This window comes from Homo sapiens, chromosome 5 (genome assembly GCF_000001405.40).
Source record: "Homo sapiens chromosome 5, GRCh38.p14 Primary Assembly".
NCBI classification, from domain to species: domain Eukaryota; kingdom Metazoa; phylum Chordata; class Mammalia; order Primates; family Hominidae; genus Homo; species Homo sapiens.
In genome coordinates this window covers 70,998,124-71,019,241 of record NC_000005.10, presented here as the reverse complement: position 1 = coordinate 71,019,241, position 21,118 = coordinate 70,998,124, and the positions used below count along the sequence as shown (strand labels likewise).

The 21,118-nt window shown below is 44.1% G+C and overlaps 1 protein-coding gene across 3 annotated transcripts in view; it reads left to right on the top strand.

Moving 5' to 3' along the window:
- The window catches only part of NAIP (NLR family apoptosis inhibitory protein), a 57,174-nt gene that overhangs the window by 6,098 nt on the left and 29,958 nt on the right, over window positions 1–21,118 (top strand). For 2 of the 3 annotated variants that reach the window (NM_004536.3, NM_001346870.2), the window contains exons 4-9: window positions 6,324–6,894; window positions 7,868–7,967; window positions 15,385–15,466; window positions 17,099–17,150; window positions 17,425–17,544; window positions 20,419–20,518. In NM_004536.3, the coding sequence (NP_004527.2) occupies window positions 6,327–6,894; window positions 7,868–7,967; window positions 15,385–15,466; window positions 17,099–17,150; window positions 17,425–17,544; window positions 20,419–20,518 (1,022 nt within the window). In that variant the 5' untranslated portion in view covers window positions 6,324–6,326. The remainder of the gene's footprint in view (window positions 1–6,323; window positions 6,895–7,867; window positions 7,968–15,384; window positions 15,467–17,098; window positions 17,151–17,424; window positions 17,545–20,418; window positions 20,519–21,118) is intronic. The other variant, NM_022892.2, reaches the window with a different exon arrangement.

Here is a 21,118-nt window from a genome sequence, read left to right as displayed (position 1 = left end):
AGGCATGCACCACCACGCCCGGCTAATTTGTTTGTATTTTTAGTAGAGATGGGGTTTCGCCATGTTGGCCAGGCTGGTCTTGAACTCCTGAACTCAAGTGATCCGCCCGTCCCAGCCTCCCGAAGTTCTGGGATTACAGGTGTGAGCCACTGCGCCTGGCCCCCCAGTTTTTTACTTTATAATTTAAATGATAGCTAAGGCTTTGTTTGGGAGAAAGATGAAAAGTGGGGAAAGATTTAGAGCCACTGGTGCCAGGCTAGTTGCTGGGGAATCCCTGTTTGAATTTGCTGAAGTGCTACAACTCTCAATGGGAAGAAAGGGATGACAATGGAACTTGAAGGTGGTTGATGCAGAGCAAGAGGAAATCGCTAAATAGATTTAAAAAGAAATCCAGACACAGAGGAAGTCAGCCAAGAATACAGTTCCCTGGCTGGTTAGGCTGCTTTGGCAAAAATGAAAGTAACTAAAAAAGAGCCTGTGTTGCCAAGTCCACCAATTTCCTTCTGTAAAGGGAAGGAACATGATGCCAAAGAGGAGTTGGGCAGATATTTCTTCTGATGGGAATGTGACCCTCATCGGGTAGATAATCACCAACGAAACTACAGTGGGAGGGCATCAAGAGACAACTGAAACAGGGAACTACACAAGAGTGAAGTTGCCTGTGGACTGACAGAGCTTCCTGCAGAACCACTGCTGGGTTGGATATACATGAATGACAAAGGAGCTCTTTTCCTTGTATTAGGTACTGTCAAATGTACCTTCAAATGAAAGGGTGTGTTTGGTCTTAATTAGCTGAATTCGTTGAAGATCTTCAATTAGCTGCAGCTTTTGCCGGAATGTGTTTAGCTGGGCAAATTCCAAATCGGTTGAGCTGCACAAAGGTGGCAGTACATAAAACATATCTTGTAAAGGGGAACTGCCCAATTCCACCCATAATTGTTAGAAGAAATACTCCCTAGAGGTTACTGAAATGTTGAGAATGCAAACAAACACATTTGGACTGGTTCTGTGATGAAACTAAGGTATCCCTTAATTTTATGTCTTTGACTTAAGTGATGATTGTTGCTGTGATAAGAGGGCCTCTACCTTCGTAGACTTTTTGTATGACCCTACTACTGGGGGAGCAGGATGAAGTGAAAGCCTGTTGAAGACTTACTAGTTCCTTTGCTCCAAATTGTGCTGAATGATGAACAGATTAATATCATTCAAAAGAAAGGAGGCCGGGTGTCCTGGCTTACACCTGTAATCCCAGCACTTTGAGAGGCTGAGGCAAGAGGATTGCTTAAGCCCAGGAATCTGAGGCTGCAGTGAGCTAGAATCATGCCACTGCACTTGTACTACAGCCTTGGCAACAGAGTGAGCCCTTGTCTCCTATAAAAAAAAAAAAAAAAAAAAGGAAAGGGCTGGGCATGGTGGCTCACACCTGTAATCCTAGCACATTGGGAGGCCGAGGCGGGTGGATCACCTGAGGTCAGGAGTTCGAAACCAGCCTGGCCAACATGGTGAAACCCTGTCTCTACTAAAAATAAAAAAATTAGCCGGGCATGGTGGCACATGCCTGTAATCCCAGCTACTCAGGAGGCTGAGGCAGGAGAATTGCTTGAACCTGGGAAGCAGAGGTTGCGGTGAGTCAAAATTTTGCCACTGCACTCCAGCCTGGGTGAACAGAGCAAGACTCCATCTCACTTTGTTGCCCAGGCTGGTTTCAAATTCCTGGGCTCAAGCAATCCTCCCACCTTAGCCTCCCAAAGTGCTGGGATTACAGGTGTGAGCCACTGTGCCCAGTCAAGATTTCTAATGTATCCTAGTCTTGATGAATTAAACAAATAAACCTTTAGGATGATGCAAAAGCAGAATCTACAGTCACTTTAAAGCAGTGTGATGTAAAGAAAAGGGTGGCAGAGTCTCTTGGTGCTATGGGACCCAAGGACATTTACATTGGTGTGGATAAAATGCCCGGAGTGGTGAAAAACTTTATTGTCATTGTTGGACCATGGTGCATAATGTATTGTTATACCTGCTAATAAAAAATTAAACAGCAATTAACTTAGTTTAGTATGACAATACAACTGTAAGTTTAAGAGTGAAAAATGGGCCAGGTGTGGTGGCTCAGGCCTGTAATCCCAGCACTTTAGGAGGCTGAGGTGGGAGGATCACTTGAGCCCAGGGGTTTGAGACCAACTTGGCAACATAGTGAGACCCCCCCCACCAACACCCCCAACACGCTTGTCTCTATAAAAAATGGTGGTGTGCTCCTGTCGTACGAGCTGCTTGGGAAGCTGAGGTGGGAGGATCGCTTCAGCCCTTGAGGTTGAGGCTGCAATGGATGGTGATCAAGCCACTGCACTCCAGCCTAGGTGACAGAGCAAGACCCTGTCTCAAGAAAAAAAAAAAGTGAAAAATGTCCATATAAAAACTTGCACACTAATGTGCACAGCGGTATTATTTATAATAGCCAAAAAGCGTAAACAATCCACACATCCATCAACTGGGTTGAGGAATAAAATATGGTATATGTGATAATAAAGTGTGGTATATCCACATAATGAAATATTATTTGACAATGAAAAGGAATATGAAGTACTAAAACAATACAACATGGATGAATTTCGCTTCCTTTTTTTGTTGTTCTTTTTATTTTATTTTTTAAGCACCTCTACCAACATGAACATTTTGCAAAGTGAAAGCAACCAGACACAAAGGACCACGTACTGTATGATTCAATTTAAATGAAATGTCCCCAGTAGGCAAATCTATAGAGACAGAAAGTAACATAGTAGTTGCCTAGGGCTAGGAGGGTAATGGGGGACATGGAAAGCAACTGCTAATGGGCACAGCGTTTCTTTCTGGGGGGATGAAAATGTTCTAAAATTGATTGTGGTGGTGGTTGTGCATGTTTATGAATATGCTGATATTTATTGAACTGTACATTTTATTTACTTTTTTTAGAGACAGAGCCTCACTCTGTTGTCCAGGCTGGAGTATAGTACTGCAATCATAGCTCCCCGCAGCTTCATATTCCTGGGCTCAAGAGATCCTTCCACCTCAGCCTCCCACGTAGTTAGGACTACAGGCACATGCCACCATGCCCCGCTAAGTTTTCGTTTTCTTAAAAAAAAAGTTTTTTTAGAGACAGGGTCTAGCTATGTTGCCCAGGCTGATCTCAACTCCTGGTCTCAAGCAATCCTCCCGCCTTGGCCTCAAGAGCATTGGGGTTATAGGTATGAGTCACCGCACCCTCAGTTGTTCATTTTAAATGGGTGAATTTTATGATGTGTGAATTATATTTCTTTCTCTTTTTTTGAGATGGAGTTTCACTCTTGTCGCCTAGGCTGGAGTGCAGTGGTGCGATCTCGGCTCACTGCAACCTCTGCCTCGTGGGTTCAAGCAATTCTCCTGCCTCAGCCTCCCGAGTAGCTGAGATTATAGGCATGCGCCACCATGCCCAGCTATTTTTTTTGTATTATTAGTAGAGATGGGGTTTCACCATGTTGGCAAGGCTAGTCTTGAACTCCTGGCCTCAGCCCCCCAAAGTGCTGGGATTATAGGTGTAAGCCACCACAGCCAGCCCCAACTAGCTGGGACTACAAGCACGTGCCACCACACCTGACTAATTTCTTTTTTTTTTTTTTTTTGTATTTTTAGTAGAGATGGGGTTTTGCCATGTTGGCCAGGCTGGTCTCAAACTCCTGACCTCAGGTGATCCACCCACCTCGGCCTCCTAAAGTGCTGAGATTACAGGCATGAGCCACTGCTCCCGATGGATTATATTTCAATATAATTCAATTATGCAATATAATTGCATAATTGTTATCATCTCTCCCTGATATATTATCGGAATGGATGTGACATCTGAATGGGGATGCTGTTGAGGAAAGAGATTTCATGAAATGTACAGTGAGTGGCATAATTGTGGCTCACTGTAACCTTGAATTCTTGGGCTCAAGTGATCCTTCTGCCTCTGCTCCCCGAGTAGCTGGGACTACAGGCATGTGCCAACACATCTGGCTAATTTTTAAAATTTTTTGTAGAGACAAGGATCTCACTAAGTTGCCTAAACTGGCCTCAAACTCCTAGCCACAAACAATCCTCCCACCTTGGCCTCCCAAAATGCTGGGATTACAGGTGTGAGCCTCCACACTTGGCCACTTACTTTCTTTTTGATTCCTATTTCAGGAGAAAATCATAATCAATTTGCATTTGTGTGGAAAGGCCACCAATGCACATTTAAGCTGCTCCCACAGGACATTTAAATTATCTTGCTTATTGCTACAACCTAATGAGGAACAACTTAGATTTGATTGCACTGGAAAATACTATATCTTTTTTTTGTTTGTTTGAGATGGAGTCTCACTCTGTCACCCAGGCTGGAGTGCAATGGCGAGATCTTGGCTCACTGCAACCTCTGCCTCCCAGGTTCAACTGATTCTCCCGCCTCAGCCTCCTGAGTAGCTGGGATTACAGGCACCCACCATCATGCCCGGCTAATTTTTTTTATTTTTGTAGAGATGGGGTTTCACCATGTGGGCCAGGCTGGTCTTGAACTCCTGACCTCAGGTGATCTGCCCGCCTCAGCCTCCCAAAGTGCTGGGATTACAGGCATGAGCCACTGCGCCCAGCTAATACTATGTCTTATTATATTGATGATAATAATGTTAATCTCTCAATCCAAATATCCAGCTAAGACTGAATTGGAAGTGCTTGTTAATCATATAACCACCAGGGAGGGATGATTAACTGGCTAAAATGCAAGGCTTAGAATAAATGGTAAAATTCTTAGAAATTACTTGGGCTAGGCTGGGTGTGGTGGCTCACGTCTGTAATCCCGGTGTGGGAGCTGAGATTGCGCCACTGCACTTCAGCCTGGGCGACAAGGACAAGAGTGGGAAGCCAAGGCAGGCGGATCACTTGAGGTCAGGAGTTGGAGACCAAGCTGGCCAACATGGCAAAACCTTGTGTCTACTAAAAATACAGAAATTAGCCGCAATTGGTGGCACGTGCCTGTAATCCCAGCTACTCAGGAGGCTGAGGCAGGAGAATTGCTTGAACCCAGGAGGCGGAGGTTGCAGTGAGCCGAGGCCACGCCACTGCACTCCAGCCTGGGTGACAGAGTGAGACTGTCTAAAAAAAAAAAAAAAGGAGGAATTACTTGGGCTAGAGCCACTAGAAACATTCCCAAACAACCAAAATTAAGTTGCTAGCTACAAGACAGAGGAAAAAGGCACGAAAATTAGTTCAATTTCTTGGTTCCTGGAGAAATCACATACCATGTTTGGGAATTTTATCAACCCTTATTCTCGAAGTTAAGAGGGAATGGGGAGCTAATTTACATGGGGCTTTGAAAAATGAACAAATGGGAGACTTTTTGGGAACTTCGAAGAGATTACTTTGGGGCCATAGCACCTCAGTGTTCAAATGATGTTAGCAATGTCAGCAACCGACTCACGCTGATGGAGCTTCTTACCAAAGCCCGTGACTGCCCCTCAGGGATGGTCATGGGGATTTGACACTAGAAAGTTACCCGAGGCTTCTGGCAGGTATATGTCCTTTGAAAAACAGTCATTGGCCTGTTACTGAGCTTCTTTTTTTTTTTTTTTTTTTTAAGACGGAGTCTTGCTCTGTCACCCAGGCTGGAGTACCGTGGCGCGATCTCGGCTCGCTGCAAGCTCCACCTCCTGGGTTCACGCCATTCTCCTGCCTCAGCCTCCCGAGTAGCTGGGACTACAGGCGCCCGCCACCACGCCCGGCTAATTTTTTTTGTAGTTTTAGTAGAGATGGGGTTTCACCTTGTTAGCCAGGATGTTCTCCATCTCCTGACCTCGTGATCCACCTGCCTCGGCCTCCCAAAGTGCTGGGATTACAGGCGTGAGCCACCGCGCCCGGCCAGAGCACCGAGACTTAAAACATGAACACAAAATAATGATTTTTTAAAACTGAGTAATTCGATCAAATTGTTGCTGCCAGGCTATACAATTTTGTCTATGTTTTTCTTTAATATAAATGTTCAGTATATGCTCATGTTACCACATTGTGTCCATAACTGATATCTGGAAAGCTTCATGAATGGAGGCAGATGGGTGTCTGTCTTGTTGGTTGCTAGATCCCCAATGTCTAGCACTGTACCTGATATATAGTAGGTGCTTAGTAAATATTTGTTGATTAAGTAGATGAATACTGATGTTTCATAATTTTCCAACAATTTATCTTTTGTGTTGAAATTCCAGGCATTCCTTTAATTCCTGGTTTCTTCGGAAACAGTGGGAAATGCTCTTCTAAGAAAAATCTTACTATAAGGGATCAACCTGCTTTATTTTCCTTTTCAGAAAATGGCCACCCAGCAGAAAGCCTCTGACGAGAGGATCTCCCAGTTTGATCACAATTTGCTGCCAGAGCTGTCTGCTCTTCTGGGCCTAGATGCAGTTCAGTTGGCAAAGGAACTAGAAGAAGAGGAGCAGAAGGAGCGAGCAAAAATGCAGAAAGGCTACAACTCTCAAATGCGCAGTGAAGCAAAAAGGTTAAAGACTTTTGTGACTTATGAGCCGTACAGCTCATGGATACCACAGGAGATGGCGGCCGCTGGGTTTTACTTCACTGGGGTAAAATCTGGGATTCAGTGCTTCTGCTGTAGCCTAATCCTCTTTGGTGCCGGCCTCACGAGACTCCCCATAGAAGACCACAAGAGGTTTCATCCAGATTGTGGGTTCCTTTTGAACAAGGATGTTGGTAACATTGCCAAGTACGACATAAGGGTGAAGAATCTGAAGAGCAGGCTGAGAGGAGGTAAAATGAGGTACCAAGAAGAGGAGGCTAGACTTGCGTCCTTCAGGAACTGGCCATTTTATGTCCAAGGGATATCCCCTTGTGTGCTCTCAGAGGCTGGCTTTGTCTTTACAGGTACCTTGAAATTATTCTCTGAAGTGTTTCTCTGGCGTTTTAAGTTTAGGTTTTATTTTTCAATTGCTTTTGCAATATTTTGCTAAACTTTCTTCACTGGTTAAATGTGTTATATTAGGTATAAGGTCTAGTTTATTAAAATTCAACATCAATATTTTTATTTTTGCTTCATTTTCTATTTAGTACAGCCTGTGTTAATTTGTCAAATATATATAAAATAAGAAAGTTACGTCTCCTTAAACTTGGACCTTAGAAAATACTGGCTGTATTCTTAAGGTCCTGAAAAGATTAAATAACTCATGCGGTCATCCTGATCCCAGTCTCCTCACCCACCCTCCTTCTACTGCTCTTACATGATCTTTCTTTGATTCTTCTCATTGCTGCAGTATTGGAGGGTTTTGTTTGTTTGTCCTAGCCCCGCCATAGGGGTTATGATATATAAATCAGAGTTCTAACAATAACAACGATCATTTACTGAGTACTGTACCTACTTTATGCTAGGCATAGAGTGAGTACTAATTCTTATCCAATGAATTTACCCCTTTCTCTCCCATTTCACAGCTGAGTTCATGGAGGCTCAGAGACTTTAAGAAACATGCCTATGTTTCTACCGAAATGTCATGGCAAGGCTAAAACGTAGGTTTTCTAATTGCACGTTACTTCAGCTGGTCCTGGTGTTAGTCGGCTTCCCTATCACTTTGACCCTGAGAACTCAAAGAGCAACATACCAGCTCTGGGGGGCAGCTGGGGCAGGATATTGAGTTACACAGCTTAGGGTTCTGTACCTAGAGCACGGCTGTGGTGGAGGGGCCCATTTTGGGTGGTGGGATTGAGGATGGAGACTCAGGCCAATGAGATCGGGAGTGCACAGCCACGCTGGAGCTTGTCTTGCTCCTGAACAAAACAATCAACTCTGTGTACATACCCCCTGGTGCCACTGCCAGGCAATCTAAATATTTTCCTTCATATATAGGTAAACAGGACACGGTACAGTGTTTTTCCTGTGGTGGATGTTTAGGAAATTGGGAAGAAGGAGATGATCCTTGGAAGGAACATGCCAAATGGTTCCCCAAGTAAGTAGATAATTTTTGCTTAAATGTTTCTTTCTTTTTTTTTTGAGACAGTCTTGCTCTGCCACCCAGGCTGGAGTATAGTGGCATGACTTCAGCTCGGTGCAAATTCTCCCTCCCTGGTTCAGGTGATTCTCCTGCCTCAGCCTTCTGAGTAGCTGGGATTATAGGTGTGCACCACCAAGATGGGCTAATGTTTGTATTTTTAGCAGAGATGGGGTTTTGCCATGTTGCCCAGGCTGGTCTTGAGCTCCTGAGCTCAGGCAGTCCACCCACCTAGGCCTCCCGAAGTGCTAGGATTACAGGCGTGAGCCACTGTGCCTGGCTAAATTTTTCAGTTCTTTAAAAGACAAAATGAAAGACAAAAGAGCCACCTTTCTGGAGTAGCACCTTCAGTTTTGATCTTTCCCTATTCAAAATTGGACCACTCCAGGATTTATTCAAGCAGGAAAGGCCTAATTACATTGTGAAAAGTTTGAATTATAGAATTTTAAACAGTTTTTAAGTATTTCATTATCCCAAATTCTAAGATAGGTTTTGCCCAGTAGAAGTTTCATGATCTGCCTTAATTAATAAATAAGGCTGGAAGTGGTGGCCCACACCTGTAACCCCAGCACTTTGGGAGGCCAAGGCAGGAGGATTGCTTGAAATCAGGAGTTTGAGACCAGCCTGGCATGTAGAGACCCTGTTTCTACAAAAATAAAAAAAATTGGCCAGGCGCGGTGGCTCACACCTGTAATCCCAGCACTTTGGGAGGCTGAGGCCGGTGGATCCGAGGTCAGGAAATCAAGACCATCCTGGCTAACACGGTGAAACCATGTCTCTACTAAAAATACAAAAAATTAGCCGGGAACGGTGGCGGGTGCCTGTAGTCCCAGCTACTTGGGAGGCTGAGGCAGAAGAATGGTGTGAACCCGGGAGGCAGAGCTTGCAGTGAGCCGAGATAGCGCCACTGCACTCCGGCCTGGGCGACAGAGTGAGACTCCGTCTCAAAAAAAAAAAGTTAGCCAGGCATGGTGGCGTGTACCTGCAGTCCTAGCTACTTGCGAGGCTGAGGCAGGAAGATTGCTAGAGCCCAGGTAGTCAAGGCTGCATTGAGCCGTGATCAAGCCACTGTGCTCCAGCCTGGGTGACAGAGTGAGACCCTGTCTCTAAAACTAATTAAATAAGTAATAATAATTTCCATAGGGGTGGTGTAAAATGGTGTATGCTGGAAGGTAAAAAATATTTAAACATTATTACAAATGGTTTCATGTACTGCTAAATATATACCAAATGAAAACACTGTATTTTTAAACCTCAGAAAGAGTTTTTATTACTGCAGTGGTCTTTAGTTCCTGGCTTAGAAAAGGAAGTACATTTTAATTATTTTTAATGCTATATTTACTAGTATTTTCTACATGACTTTCTTTGTTTCTACCAAGTACAGATTCATTCCTTTAACAAGTTTTTAAACTTTCACTGTGTAAAATTTCATACAAAGATAGAATAGTGTAATAAATACTTGTCAACACATAGCCAAATCATATTTCATCCATCTCCTACCCACCTTTTTTCCTGGAAATAATAACAATAACTATATTTTTATTTTATTTTATTTGAGACAGAGTCTCGCCCTGTTGCCCAGTGGTACGATCTTGGCTCACTGCAACCTCCACCTCTCAGGTACAAGTGATTCTTGTGCCTCAGCCTCCGAGTAACTGAGATTACAGGCATGCACCACCACACCTGGCTAATTTTTGTAATTTTAGTAGAGATGCGGTTTCATCATGTTGCCCAGGCTGGTCTGAAATTCCTGGCCTCAAGTGATCCACCCACCTTGGATTCCCAAAGTGCTAGGATTACAAGCATGAGCCACCTGTGCCTGACCAAGATTTGTTGTTTTCTTTCTTTCTTTTCTTTTTTTTTTTTTTTTGAGAGTGAGTTTTGCTCTGTTGCCCAGACTGGAGCCCAGACTGGAGTTTAGTGGTGCAATCTCAGCTCACTGCAACCTCCACCTCTCAGACTCAAGCAATCCTCCCACCTCAGCGTCCTGAGTAGCTGGGACCACAGGTGCCTACCACCATGCCCAGCTAATTTTCATATCTTTTATAGCGACAAGGTTTCACTTTGTTGCCCAGGCTGGTCTGGAACTCCTGGTTCTACAAACTCCTGGGCTCAAGTGATCCTCCCACCTCAGCCTCCCAAAGTGCTGGGATTACAGGCATGAGCCACTGTGCTCAGCCCCTTAAGATTTTTAATTCGTAGATTTCCTCTTTATCCATCTCTTTTTTCTTGTCACTTATTTGTTAAAGAAGCCATGTAATCTGTCCTGTAAAATTCCCTCTACTCTAGATTTGGCAGAATGTGTTCCTCTGGCATAGTCTAACATGTTCCTCTACCTTCTGCATTTCCAGGAACCTGACACTTGGATCTAGCAGTTTGGTCAGGCTCAGATTCTATTTTCTTTCTTTCTTTCTTTTTTTTTTTTTTTTTTGTGACAGTCTCACTCTGTTGCCCAGGCTTGAGTGCAGCGGTGCAATCTTGGCTCACTGCAACCTCTGCCTCCTGGGTTCAAGCGATTCTCCTGCCTCACCCCACCCAGGTCTGGGATTATAGGTGCGCACTGCCACACCTGACTAGTTTTTGTATTTTTAGTAGAGACGGGGTTTCTCCATATTTGCGAGGCTGGTCTCGAACTCCTGACTTCAGGCAGTCCACCTGCCTCGGCCTCCCAAAGTGCTGGGATTATAGGCATGAGCCACCGTGCCCAGCCTCAGATTCTATTTTCTTTAACAAATATTTGTCACACACCTACTACATGCAAAGTTGTTGGTTGGATACTAAATTAACTACAAAACTGGACACAGTTATTTACATTTATAAGTCATCTTGCACATGGACAGCCATGCCCACAAAAGTGAATGGAGGCCCGGCATGGTGGCTCATGCCTGTAATCCCAGCACTTTGGGAGGCTAAGGTAGGCGGATCATTTGATGTCAGTAGTTCAAGACCAGCCTGGCTAACATGGTAAAACCCTGTCTCTATTAAAAATACAAAAATTGGCCAGGCGTGGTGGCAGGCACCTGTAACCCCAGCTACTTGGGAGGCTGAGGCAGGAGAATTGCTTGAGCCCGGGAGGCAGAGGTTGCAGTGAGCTGAGATCGCACCACTGCACTCCAGCCTGGTCAACACAGCGAGACTCCATCTCAAAAAAAAAAAAAAAAAAAAAAAAGGCTGGGCACAGTGGCTCACACCTGTGATCCCAGCACTTTGGGAGGCCAAGGCGGGCAAATCACTTGAGGCCAGGAGTTCATTCAAGTGATGAACTCTCCTCTCCCCTCTTCCCTCTCTCCTCTCTCCTCTCCTATCTCCCCTCTTCCCTGGCCAACATGGTGAAACCCCATCTCTACTAAAAATACAAAAATGAGCCGAGCGTGGTGGTGCGTGCCTATGGTTCCAGCTACTCGGGAGGCTGAGGCAAGAAATTGCTTGAACCTGGGAGGCGGAGGTTGCAGTGAGCCAAGATCACTCCACTGCACAGCAGCCTGGGCAACAGAGTGAGACTCCATCTCAAAAGAAAAAAAAAGTGAATGGATATCTTTGATATGTTTTGATACGTTGTGTGGGAAAGCAATATGCACAATAAGTGCAGTGTGAGACTTTGAAAATGTTTAAAACCACTCAAACTATATATGGAGTTGCTTGAAAATATATAGAAAACCTTATGAAAATATGTAAACCAAACTGTAGATACTTCTGGATCTGGATTTGTCAGGGGGTGAAGTAGTGATGGATTTTCACATTTATTTTGTTCATTGCTGTCTTGTTTAAATTTTTGGAAACAAGTATATATTACTTTCATAGTTGAAAAGAAAGTGAGGAGATTAGGAGGGAGGAAGTAAACAAGGGAGGAGAGGAGAAAGGCAGGAAGAGGAGAGAGAGAAAGTTAGACAAGTAGATGAGATAGTTATAGGGACGAATGAAGCTAGAATTGTGAAATCATTTGACAGTCACTCTGGCTCCCTGACGAATCAAAACAGCCACCCAGGCAGTCCTTGTCCATGCTGACAGTGCACCATATATGCATATGTAACAGGGAACAGCAGCCCCGGCTGGAGCACAAGCCGCTGCTCGTGGGCACCTGTCTCAGCTCTAGCCTCAGCTCAGGCTTCACTTAGCCTCAGGGTCACTGTGTTTAGTGTCGCTGGGTTATACACTGGACAAGTACCAGTGGCACCACTCACACATGATCACATTATCATGTGACTAGCACCTACTAGAGCCGCACATCCTGTCTGGAGGGGCCTTCATATGCCTTCTCTAACATAGTCAGAGGGTAAGGTAATAAGCACAGGGAGGGGAGACAGCAGTCCAGCAACCACTCCTAGAGAGGAAGGAGTTCAGGCCAGCAAACAAGGGCAGGGGGTAGTGCAGAGGCTTAGGAGATAGAGCCAGGCTTGAATCTGCTGCTACCTGACTACCAGACCCTAGGCAGGTGACTGACCTTGTCTGAATCTCATATGTAAAATGCAGTGTCAACAACAACAAAAAAATTAGAGACAGATATCCCCAAATATGTCAAATTTATTCAGGAATAAGAAAAGAGGGTTATGATTTGGAATGCACTACTGTAAACCACAGGCACGTGCAGTGAGGGAAGAGTAAAGGGAATTTTTCTTGGCAAAAGGGAGAAGTTCACATAAGCTGCTTAGAAACAGAGTTCATAGCTGGGCATGGTAGCTCATACGTGTAATCACAGCTATGTGGGAGGCTGAGGCGGGAGGGTCTTTGGAGGCCAGGAGTTTGAGACCAGCCTGGGCAATGTGATGAGGCTCCAGTTTCTTTAGAGAGAGAGGAGAGAGGGGAGAGGGGAGAGGAGAGAGAAGACAGGGGACGGGGGAGAGGGGAGAGGAGAGAGGGCAGAAGAGAATTCCTTGGTTCTGAAGGCTCAAAGCCAGAGTTCTTGTGTGTTCATTGGTGGAGATGCTGTTCCTGGGCAGGTGTTCTTTTGACAGCATCTCATCTCATGTTATCTTATCTGAATTGCTGCAGTCCAAAAGAATGTGCAGTGATAAACCTTGCCATAGAAATATGTGCGTACATGCAAGCAATGCAAAGCAGGAGATGCGTGACAGGCGTGAAGGGATTTCTTATGGGATTCTTAGAAAGTCTTTGGAACCGTTCCTGTCTTGGACATGAAAGCCTGAACCCCACTCCTTCGTGCCTTCCCAGCCCTATTTTGTGTGGGTCTGATAAAAGTGATTTCATCTTGGTATCTGCGACTTCCACAGCAGATAATAATGTACAGCTTGTCTGGTGGTTGTAAGGATGAGAAACAAAGTATATGGATCAAATGCTTTGTAAAAATTACCATGTATAATGTGAGGATGACAGATGACCCACTGTTTTGCCTTTCATTTGTTTGTCGTCATAAGCACATGGTCAGTCAATAAAATCTAAGAGCTGGAATTAGAGCAAGAATCCCCAAGTTTCTTGTTGGGTTACTCTGTCTTTAGCTTTCTGGACTTCAATTTGTTGCTTCTTTTTATCAACTGTCAACAAAATGAGTATACCCTTACACTTTTTAAAATGTGGCACTCCATAAATGTAAGATGATTTTATGGTAACTTTTTAAGGTACTGAGTTCCTCCTCAATCCATATAAATCATGAGGACAGGGAACCACCCCGTGCATTGTGTGCCATGTAGGTTATGTGCAGACTTACGGCAATCCTTGGAAACATTTATACACCTGAAAACTGGGGACCCTGGCTGCCTATCACATAGAATCATGGCCCTGGGGAAATATGCAGATCATCTGATGGCATCCATGTTCTCCTGTGATTATAAGAGAACATGGCAAGGTTGGTCACATCCCCACTGGTGGAAGAGCGGGTACTAATGCTCCAGCCTTTGGGTTCCCAGCCCATTCTTTGCTACAGCACCATAGAAAGAAAACTTAAATTTGAATTGGAGGGATTTTTATTTTTATTTTTATTTTTTTTGAGACAGAGTCTCTCTCTGTTGCCCAGGCTGGAGTGTAGTGGTACAATCATGACTCACTGCAAACTCTGCTTCCCAGGTTCAAGTGATCCTCCCGCCTCAGCCTCCCAAGCAGCTGGGATTACAGGCGCCCGCCACCATGCCTGGCTAATTTTTGTATTTTCAGTAGAGATGGGGTTTCACCATGTTGACCAGGCTGGTCTCAAACTCCAGGCCTCAAGTGATCCACCCGCCTCAGCCTCCAAAAGTGCTGGGATTACAGGCATGATCCCCCATGCCCAGCTGAATTGGAGGAAATTTTAAAAGTTAATTTTAAAACTGCTTCTCTTTTATGGGAAAGGAATATGTTTTTAAATGGTATTCAGTGTGCTCTTTTTTAAAAAAATCAAAAATTATCCATTAACATCCGTTACTTTTTTTGTTTTTGGTTTTTTTTGAGATTGAGTCTTGCTCTGTTGCCCAGGCTAGAGTGCAGTGGCATGATTTCAGCTCACTGCAACCTCCACCTCCCAGGTTCAAGCGATTCTCCTGCCTCAGCCTCCCAAGTAGCTGGGATTACAGGCGCCCGCCACCACACCCAGCTAATTTTTGTACTTTTAGTAGAGACAGGGTTTCACCATCTTGGCCAGGCTGGTCTCGAACTCCTGACCTCGTGATCCACCTGTCTCGGCCTCCCAAAGTGCTGGGATTCCAGGCGTGAGCCATCACGCCTGGCCTAATAGCCATTACTTTTTAATGCATGGTAATTTTTTGTTCAGTAGATAAATATATTGTTATCTTAAAAAGATTTTTTGTATTTACTTTTGAGACTGGGTCTCAGTCTGTTGCCCAGGCTGGAGTGTAGCAGCCTGATCATGGCTCAGTGCAGCCTCTACCTCCCCGGGCTCAGGTGATCCTCCCCCTTCAGCCTCCTGAGTAGCTGGGACTACAGAGGTGTGGCACCATGCCCGGCTAATTTTTGTATTTTTTGTGGAGATGGGGTTTTGCCATGTTGCCCAGGCTAGTCTTGAACTCCTGGATGTGAGCCACTGCGTCTGGCCTATTATTTTAAATATAGTTCTCTTTACTGCCAGTAGCTTTCATATAACCCTAGCGACTAGATTTAGTCACCACTGCTTAATTCCAAAAAACAAAAGCTCCATCCTATATTTACTGTAAATCAGTCTCTTTGATTGTATTGCATGTTTTATTTCAAGAAAAAAGTTAACCTGAAGATTTAATTTTAAATAACTACACATGTTGTCACTAATAGAAATAACAAATAATTATATGAGAATAATGGTAATTCTCCTAAGTTTTGTGGTAAATTTTTTGGCAATTTTATTGAAGTATAATAAAATTCAACAATTCAATACGTCTTTATAAATGTTCATTGTGATATAGGACAGCTCTATCACAGTACTGGGGTAAATTTTAATTATATTTATTAATTACAGATGTGAATTTCTTCGGAGTAAGAAATCCTCAGAGGAAATTACCCAGTATATTCAAAGCTACAAGGGATTTGTTGACATAACGGTAATGTATAACAGCAATTTTTTTCTCAAGTTTTTGGATTACCTGTAAGTGTCTGACTCAGAAGGGCATAGGCATTCTTTTTATGTCATGGGTTTGATTTCTTTCTTCCTTTCTCCTTTCATTCCCCTGGCTCCCATCTTCAAAGTGAAAAATATCACATTCACTTGCTGACCTAGAGCCTTTTTCTTTTTCCAGGGCTGGCTTCTGACGGGCTCTGCTTGCCTTCCTGATAGTCTTCCCCTTTATGAATGAAGCCACTTGCCCCAGCTTCCCTCTGCTGCCCCTATCTGCAGGCTTGCTAAGATCTCCTGACCTAGGCGCTGTCACCCACAGTGGGCTGCAGAGCTGGCTCTTCCTAGCTGGCTAACTATCCTGAATCAGTAAAAATTTCCTAGTGGAGAGTGATGGGAAATCGAATCCAAACTGGCTTAAACAAAAATGAGAATTTATTGATTAACATGACTCAGGAGACCAGAACTCTATAGAGAACATGGCCTGACAGTGGGGGAAGAGAGGTGTTTCCTCAAAAAGAAACTGGGTGCAGCTTTCCCAGAAGAATCAGTTGCTCAATATATAATACCCTGATGAATTTAGTTACCATTCTATGTCTCTTACTTCCTCATTCGTCAAAGTACATCTGTGATATTTAAATGCAGGTCTGTTTTCAAGGTCAGTTTCCGGAAACAGTGACCCTGAGAAGGCTTCCTCCTGAGTATGCATAAACATTCACAGCTTGCATGCGTGTGTGTGTGTGTGTGTGTGTGTGTGTGTGTGTGTGTGTGTATGTTTGCTTGCACTGCATAAAAACAATTGCAACATCAACAGAAATAAAAATTAAAGGAATAATTCTCCTCCGACTCTGCCGTTCCATCCAGTGAAACTCTTCATTCTGGGGTAAAGTTCCTTCAGTTCTTGTTCATAGATAGGTATATACTTCATAAGTCAAACAATCAGGCTGGGCGCAGTAGCTCATGCCTGTAATCCCAGCCCTTTGGGAGGCCGAGCTGGGCAGATCACTTGAGATCAGGTGTTCGAGACCAGCCTCAAGACCTCCAACATGGGCCGGGTGCAGTGGCTCACGTCTGTAATCCCAGCACTTTGGGAGGCCGAGACGGACGGATGATGAGGTCAGGAGATAGAGACCATCCTGGCTAACATGGTGAAACCCCATCTCTACTAAAAATACAAAAAAAAAAAAAATTAGCCCGGCATGGTGGCAGGCGCCTGTGGTCCCAGCTACTCGGGAGGCTGAGGCAGGAGAATGGCGTGAACCTGGGAGGCGGAGCTTGTAGTGAGCCAAGGTCGTGCCACTGTGCTCCAGCCTGGACGACAGAGCGAGACTCTGTCTCAAAAAAAAAAAAAAAAAAAAAAAAAGACCTCCAACATCGTGTCTGTCTCTACTAAAAATACAAAAAAAAAAAAAAAATTAGCCGGGTGTGGTGGCACATGCCTGTACTGCTCGGGAGGCTGAGGCAGGAGAATCACTTGAACCCAGGAGGCGGAGGTTGCAGTGAGACGAGAACCTGCCACTGCACTTCAGCCTGGGCAACAGAGTGAGACTCTGCCTCAAAAAAAAAAAAAAAAAAAAAAAAAAGTCAGATAATCAACAACTTGAATTTTAATTTCCCTCAGGGAGAACATTTTGTGAATTCCTGGGTCCAGAGAGAATTACCTATGGCATCAGGTAAAAACTCAAACATTTTCCAAAGGCTTTGCTTGTTTATTTCTTCTTTTGATTTTTTGTCCCTATCTCTTTTTGTCGTCCCCCCCGCCCCGCCCCGTTTATTTTGAAGCAAACTCTAGACATCATTCCATCTGTAACTGTGAAGGGACAACTTGAACGCTGATACTTGCAATATCAAAGCCTACTGGTCTCTTTAATTTGTGCAGCAGCAATAAAGATATAGAAAAAAAAAAGACTAAAGCCTGCTGGTCTCACCTTGTGCTTTTTATTCAAGCTTATTGCAATGACAGCATCTTTGCTTACGAAGAACTACGGCTGGACTCTTTTAAGGACTGGCCCCGGGAATCAGCTGTGGGAGTTGCAGCACTGGCCAAAGCAGGTCTTTTCTACACAGGTGAGTCAGTAGGTTGTGCCCACTTGCTTGCTTGACCTTTAATTCCCACATAGACTTTATGCTCCTGGGCTTACGTTTAGCTACACTCAGCAATGTCCACTAGCTTCAGCGTTTCTTTTTCTTTTCTTTTTTTTTCCCCCTTGGAGACAGAGTTGCCCAGGCTGGAATGCAGATCTTGGCTCACTGCAACCTCCACCTCCCGGGTTCAAGAGATTCTCCTTCCTCAGCCTCTGGAGTAGCTGGAACCACAGGCGCCTGCCACCACGCCCAGCTACTTTTTTGTATTTTTAGTAGAGACAGGGTTTCACCATGCTAGTCAGAATGCTCTTGATCTCCTGATCTCGTGATCTGCCCGCCTTGGCCTCCCAAATGCTGGGATTACAGGTGTGAGCCATCGCGCCAGGCCTCTCTTCAGCATTTCTTATAGATTCGTTTTCTTTTCTTTCTATTTTTTTTGAGACATGGTCATCCAGGCTGGAGGGCAGTGGCGAGATCATGGCTCACTGCAGCCTCAACCTCCTGGGCTCAAGTAATCCTCCTGCCTTGGCCTCCCAAAATGCTGGGATTACAGGTGTGAGCCACTGCACCTGGCATACATCTCTTTTCTTTCCTGCATCATAAATCCTCTCCCAGTTTTCTATTCCTCCCTTAGGTGGTAAACCTTCAAATTTGAAACCTTAAGGTCTGGACTAACAATGAATACAAATATTCTATTTGTGATAATTATCATGTCTTTTCTTTCTACACATTACTCTCCTCACCTCTTGTCCCCTGACAAAGTGCTCCTAGAAACTGTCACAGGACACTTCTGCTTATATTTCTTTAATCAGAACTTAGTTGGATGGGCCGGGCATGGTGGCTCACGCCTGTAATCCCAGCACTTTGGGAGGCCGAGGTGGGTGGATCACCTGAGGTCAGGAGTTTGAGACCAGCCTGGCCAATATGGTGAAACTCTGTCTCTACTAAAAATACAAAGAATTAGCCAGGCATGGTGGCGGGTGCCTGTAATCCCAGCTACTTGGGAGGCTGAGGCAGGAGAATCGCTTGAACCTGGGACGTGGAGGTTGCGGGGAGTCAAGATCATGCTATTGCACTCCAGCCTGGGCAACAAGAGTGAAACTCTGTCTCAAAAATAATAATAATAATAATAATTATTATTATTATTATTATTATTATTAGTCAGATGACCATACCTAGCTGTAAGAGGAGCTGGGAAACCTAATCTTTTTCCTGGGTGACAATGTGCCCAGCTAAATATTGGGATTTCTATTAGTATGGAAGGATTTGAGATAATAGGAACATGGATAGCAATCTTTGCCACATTCTGCCTGCAGGAGAAAATCAGGAAATTAATTTTCATGATTCCTAAACATGTAGAGCCTTCCACCAGATTGTGGCATTTTCTCTTTAGCTGCTGGTCATTAGGAAGCACCTCTGCAATCTATAAATGATGGGCTGGTTCCTGTCAGCTAAATCTCTGCCTGAAATACAAGATGATCAGGGAAAGGTTCCTAGGTACCTTGCTGGTCTTGCTCAAACCGAACACATGCATAAGTTACAGTGGAGGTTAATGCAGATCTTTAACTGAGAGATCAAGTAGTTGTCACAAATACCATAGAGCAACACAGAGAAGCAGAATATAGTTGTCACTCTACCTAACAGACATGTGCCATTGGAAAAAAAAAATCTGACTGCCTCACAATCTTAAGCCTTTGGAAAGAGTGTTTGCCATTTCTCCCTACTCTACTGTGTCTTCCTCTTGTCAGCCTTCCGCAAGACCCCTCTGACCAGTGTGCTCCCCCTCTTCCTTTCCAATCCTCCACCACTCCACACAAATCCTAATCATCTCTGACTGTTTTCAGATCTTGCAAGCTCTAGGATCTCATATTTCTGGGAGGCTTTCCTCTGCCCCAGCTTTCCCAGAGTGGAAGGAAGATGAGAAATGCTCTGTTTCTAGTTTGATCCTTTTGCAGAGCTAAATACCAATTTCTTTCCAAAGAAATATAATTTCACAAAGAGACTTAATCCTATTTCTGGTGTAATAAACATGGCAATAATGTGGTAAGAGGCAATTAATTCTTCATGCATTCACTTACATAAGGGCTGCTAGATTTGCTGGTATTTTTTTTCCGTGAGCTCTAAATATATTCTTTCTGATTCATTCATTAAACGAATACTAATTGAGTGCCACATGAGTGTCAAGCACTTTTCTAGGTTCATGTCATTCATTAGTGAGCAAAAACCTCTACCCTCATAGAGCTTATTTTTATTTTTATTTTTTGAGACAGAGTTTCACTCTTGTTGCCCAGGCTGGAGTGCAATGGCGTTATCTTGGTTCACTGCAACCTCCGTCTCCTGGGTTCAAGCGATTCTTGTGCCTCAGCCTCCTGAGTAGCTGGCATTACAGGCATGTGCCACCATGCCCAGCTAATTTTTGTATTTTTAGTAGAGACAGGGTTTCACCGTGTTGGCCAGGCTGGTCTCAGACTCCTGACCTCAGGAGATCCGCTGGCCTTGGCCTCCCAAAGTGCTGGGATTACAGGCATGAGCCACTGCGCCCAGCCCCCTCATGGAGCTTCAATTCCAGATTCTGGTTGCCAATCTGTTTGTTGATCAAAGGAGAATGGGGCAGAGGGATGGTGTGCATCAAAGTGCATGGTGTGTAGGAGCATTCAATGACTACTTGCCAGTTACCCCATTGGTGGACAGAGTCTTATATAGAAAATTGCCTCACTGGTAACCAACTTCTGACTGTCACAAAACCCAACTGGAGACTGAATAGGCTTTCACTATTACAGGTCTGGTGGTTATTATCTGCATGTTAATGGACAGATGCCCATGCCAGTGGCACTGATCAAGTTTCCTTACTTTTAGGTATAAAGGACATCGTCCAGTGCTTTTCCTGTGGAGGGTGTTTAGAGAAATGGCAGGAAGGTGATGACCCATTAGACGATCACACCAGATGTTTTCCCAAGTGAGTGGAATGAATGTTAACCATCTGCAACTTTGGATGCACTTCAACAGTTTTTTTCTTTTTCCTCATTTCCTGCCTTATTTTATCTTTAGATTGAGTCTTTATCCACTCCTCGGATTCAGGCTATGAAGGATGAGTCTTCATGTCTTTCATCCCTTTGCTCCATGACCCCCTTCCTGTACTAGCCTTCCCCTCTTTATAGTTATGGCATAGTTTTGGCTAGATTCATATATTCACATTACATGTTTACATTATCATGACTATACAAATGCTATGTGGAGCTGAAGCTTGTGGTAAATTTTTATTTATTTTTCCCTTCCTGTATATCCTTTTATTTTTTTAGGAAGTAATAACTGTCCTGTTGGTATGTTAGCTTATTTTTTTTTCCTGAGGTAAAATTCAGGTAGTAACCATTTTATTTATTTATTTATTATTTTTTGTGACAGGTTCTCTCTCTTGCCCAGGTTGGAGTGCAGTGGTGCAATCATGGCTCACTGCAGCCTTGACCTCTCTGGCTCAAGCAATCTTCCTCGCTCAGCCTCCCAAGTAGCTGGGACTACAGGCACATGTCTTCACACCCAGCTAATTTTTTTTTTTTTT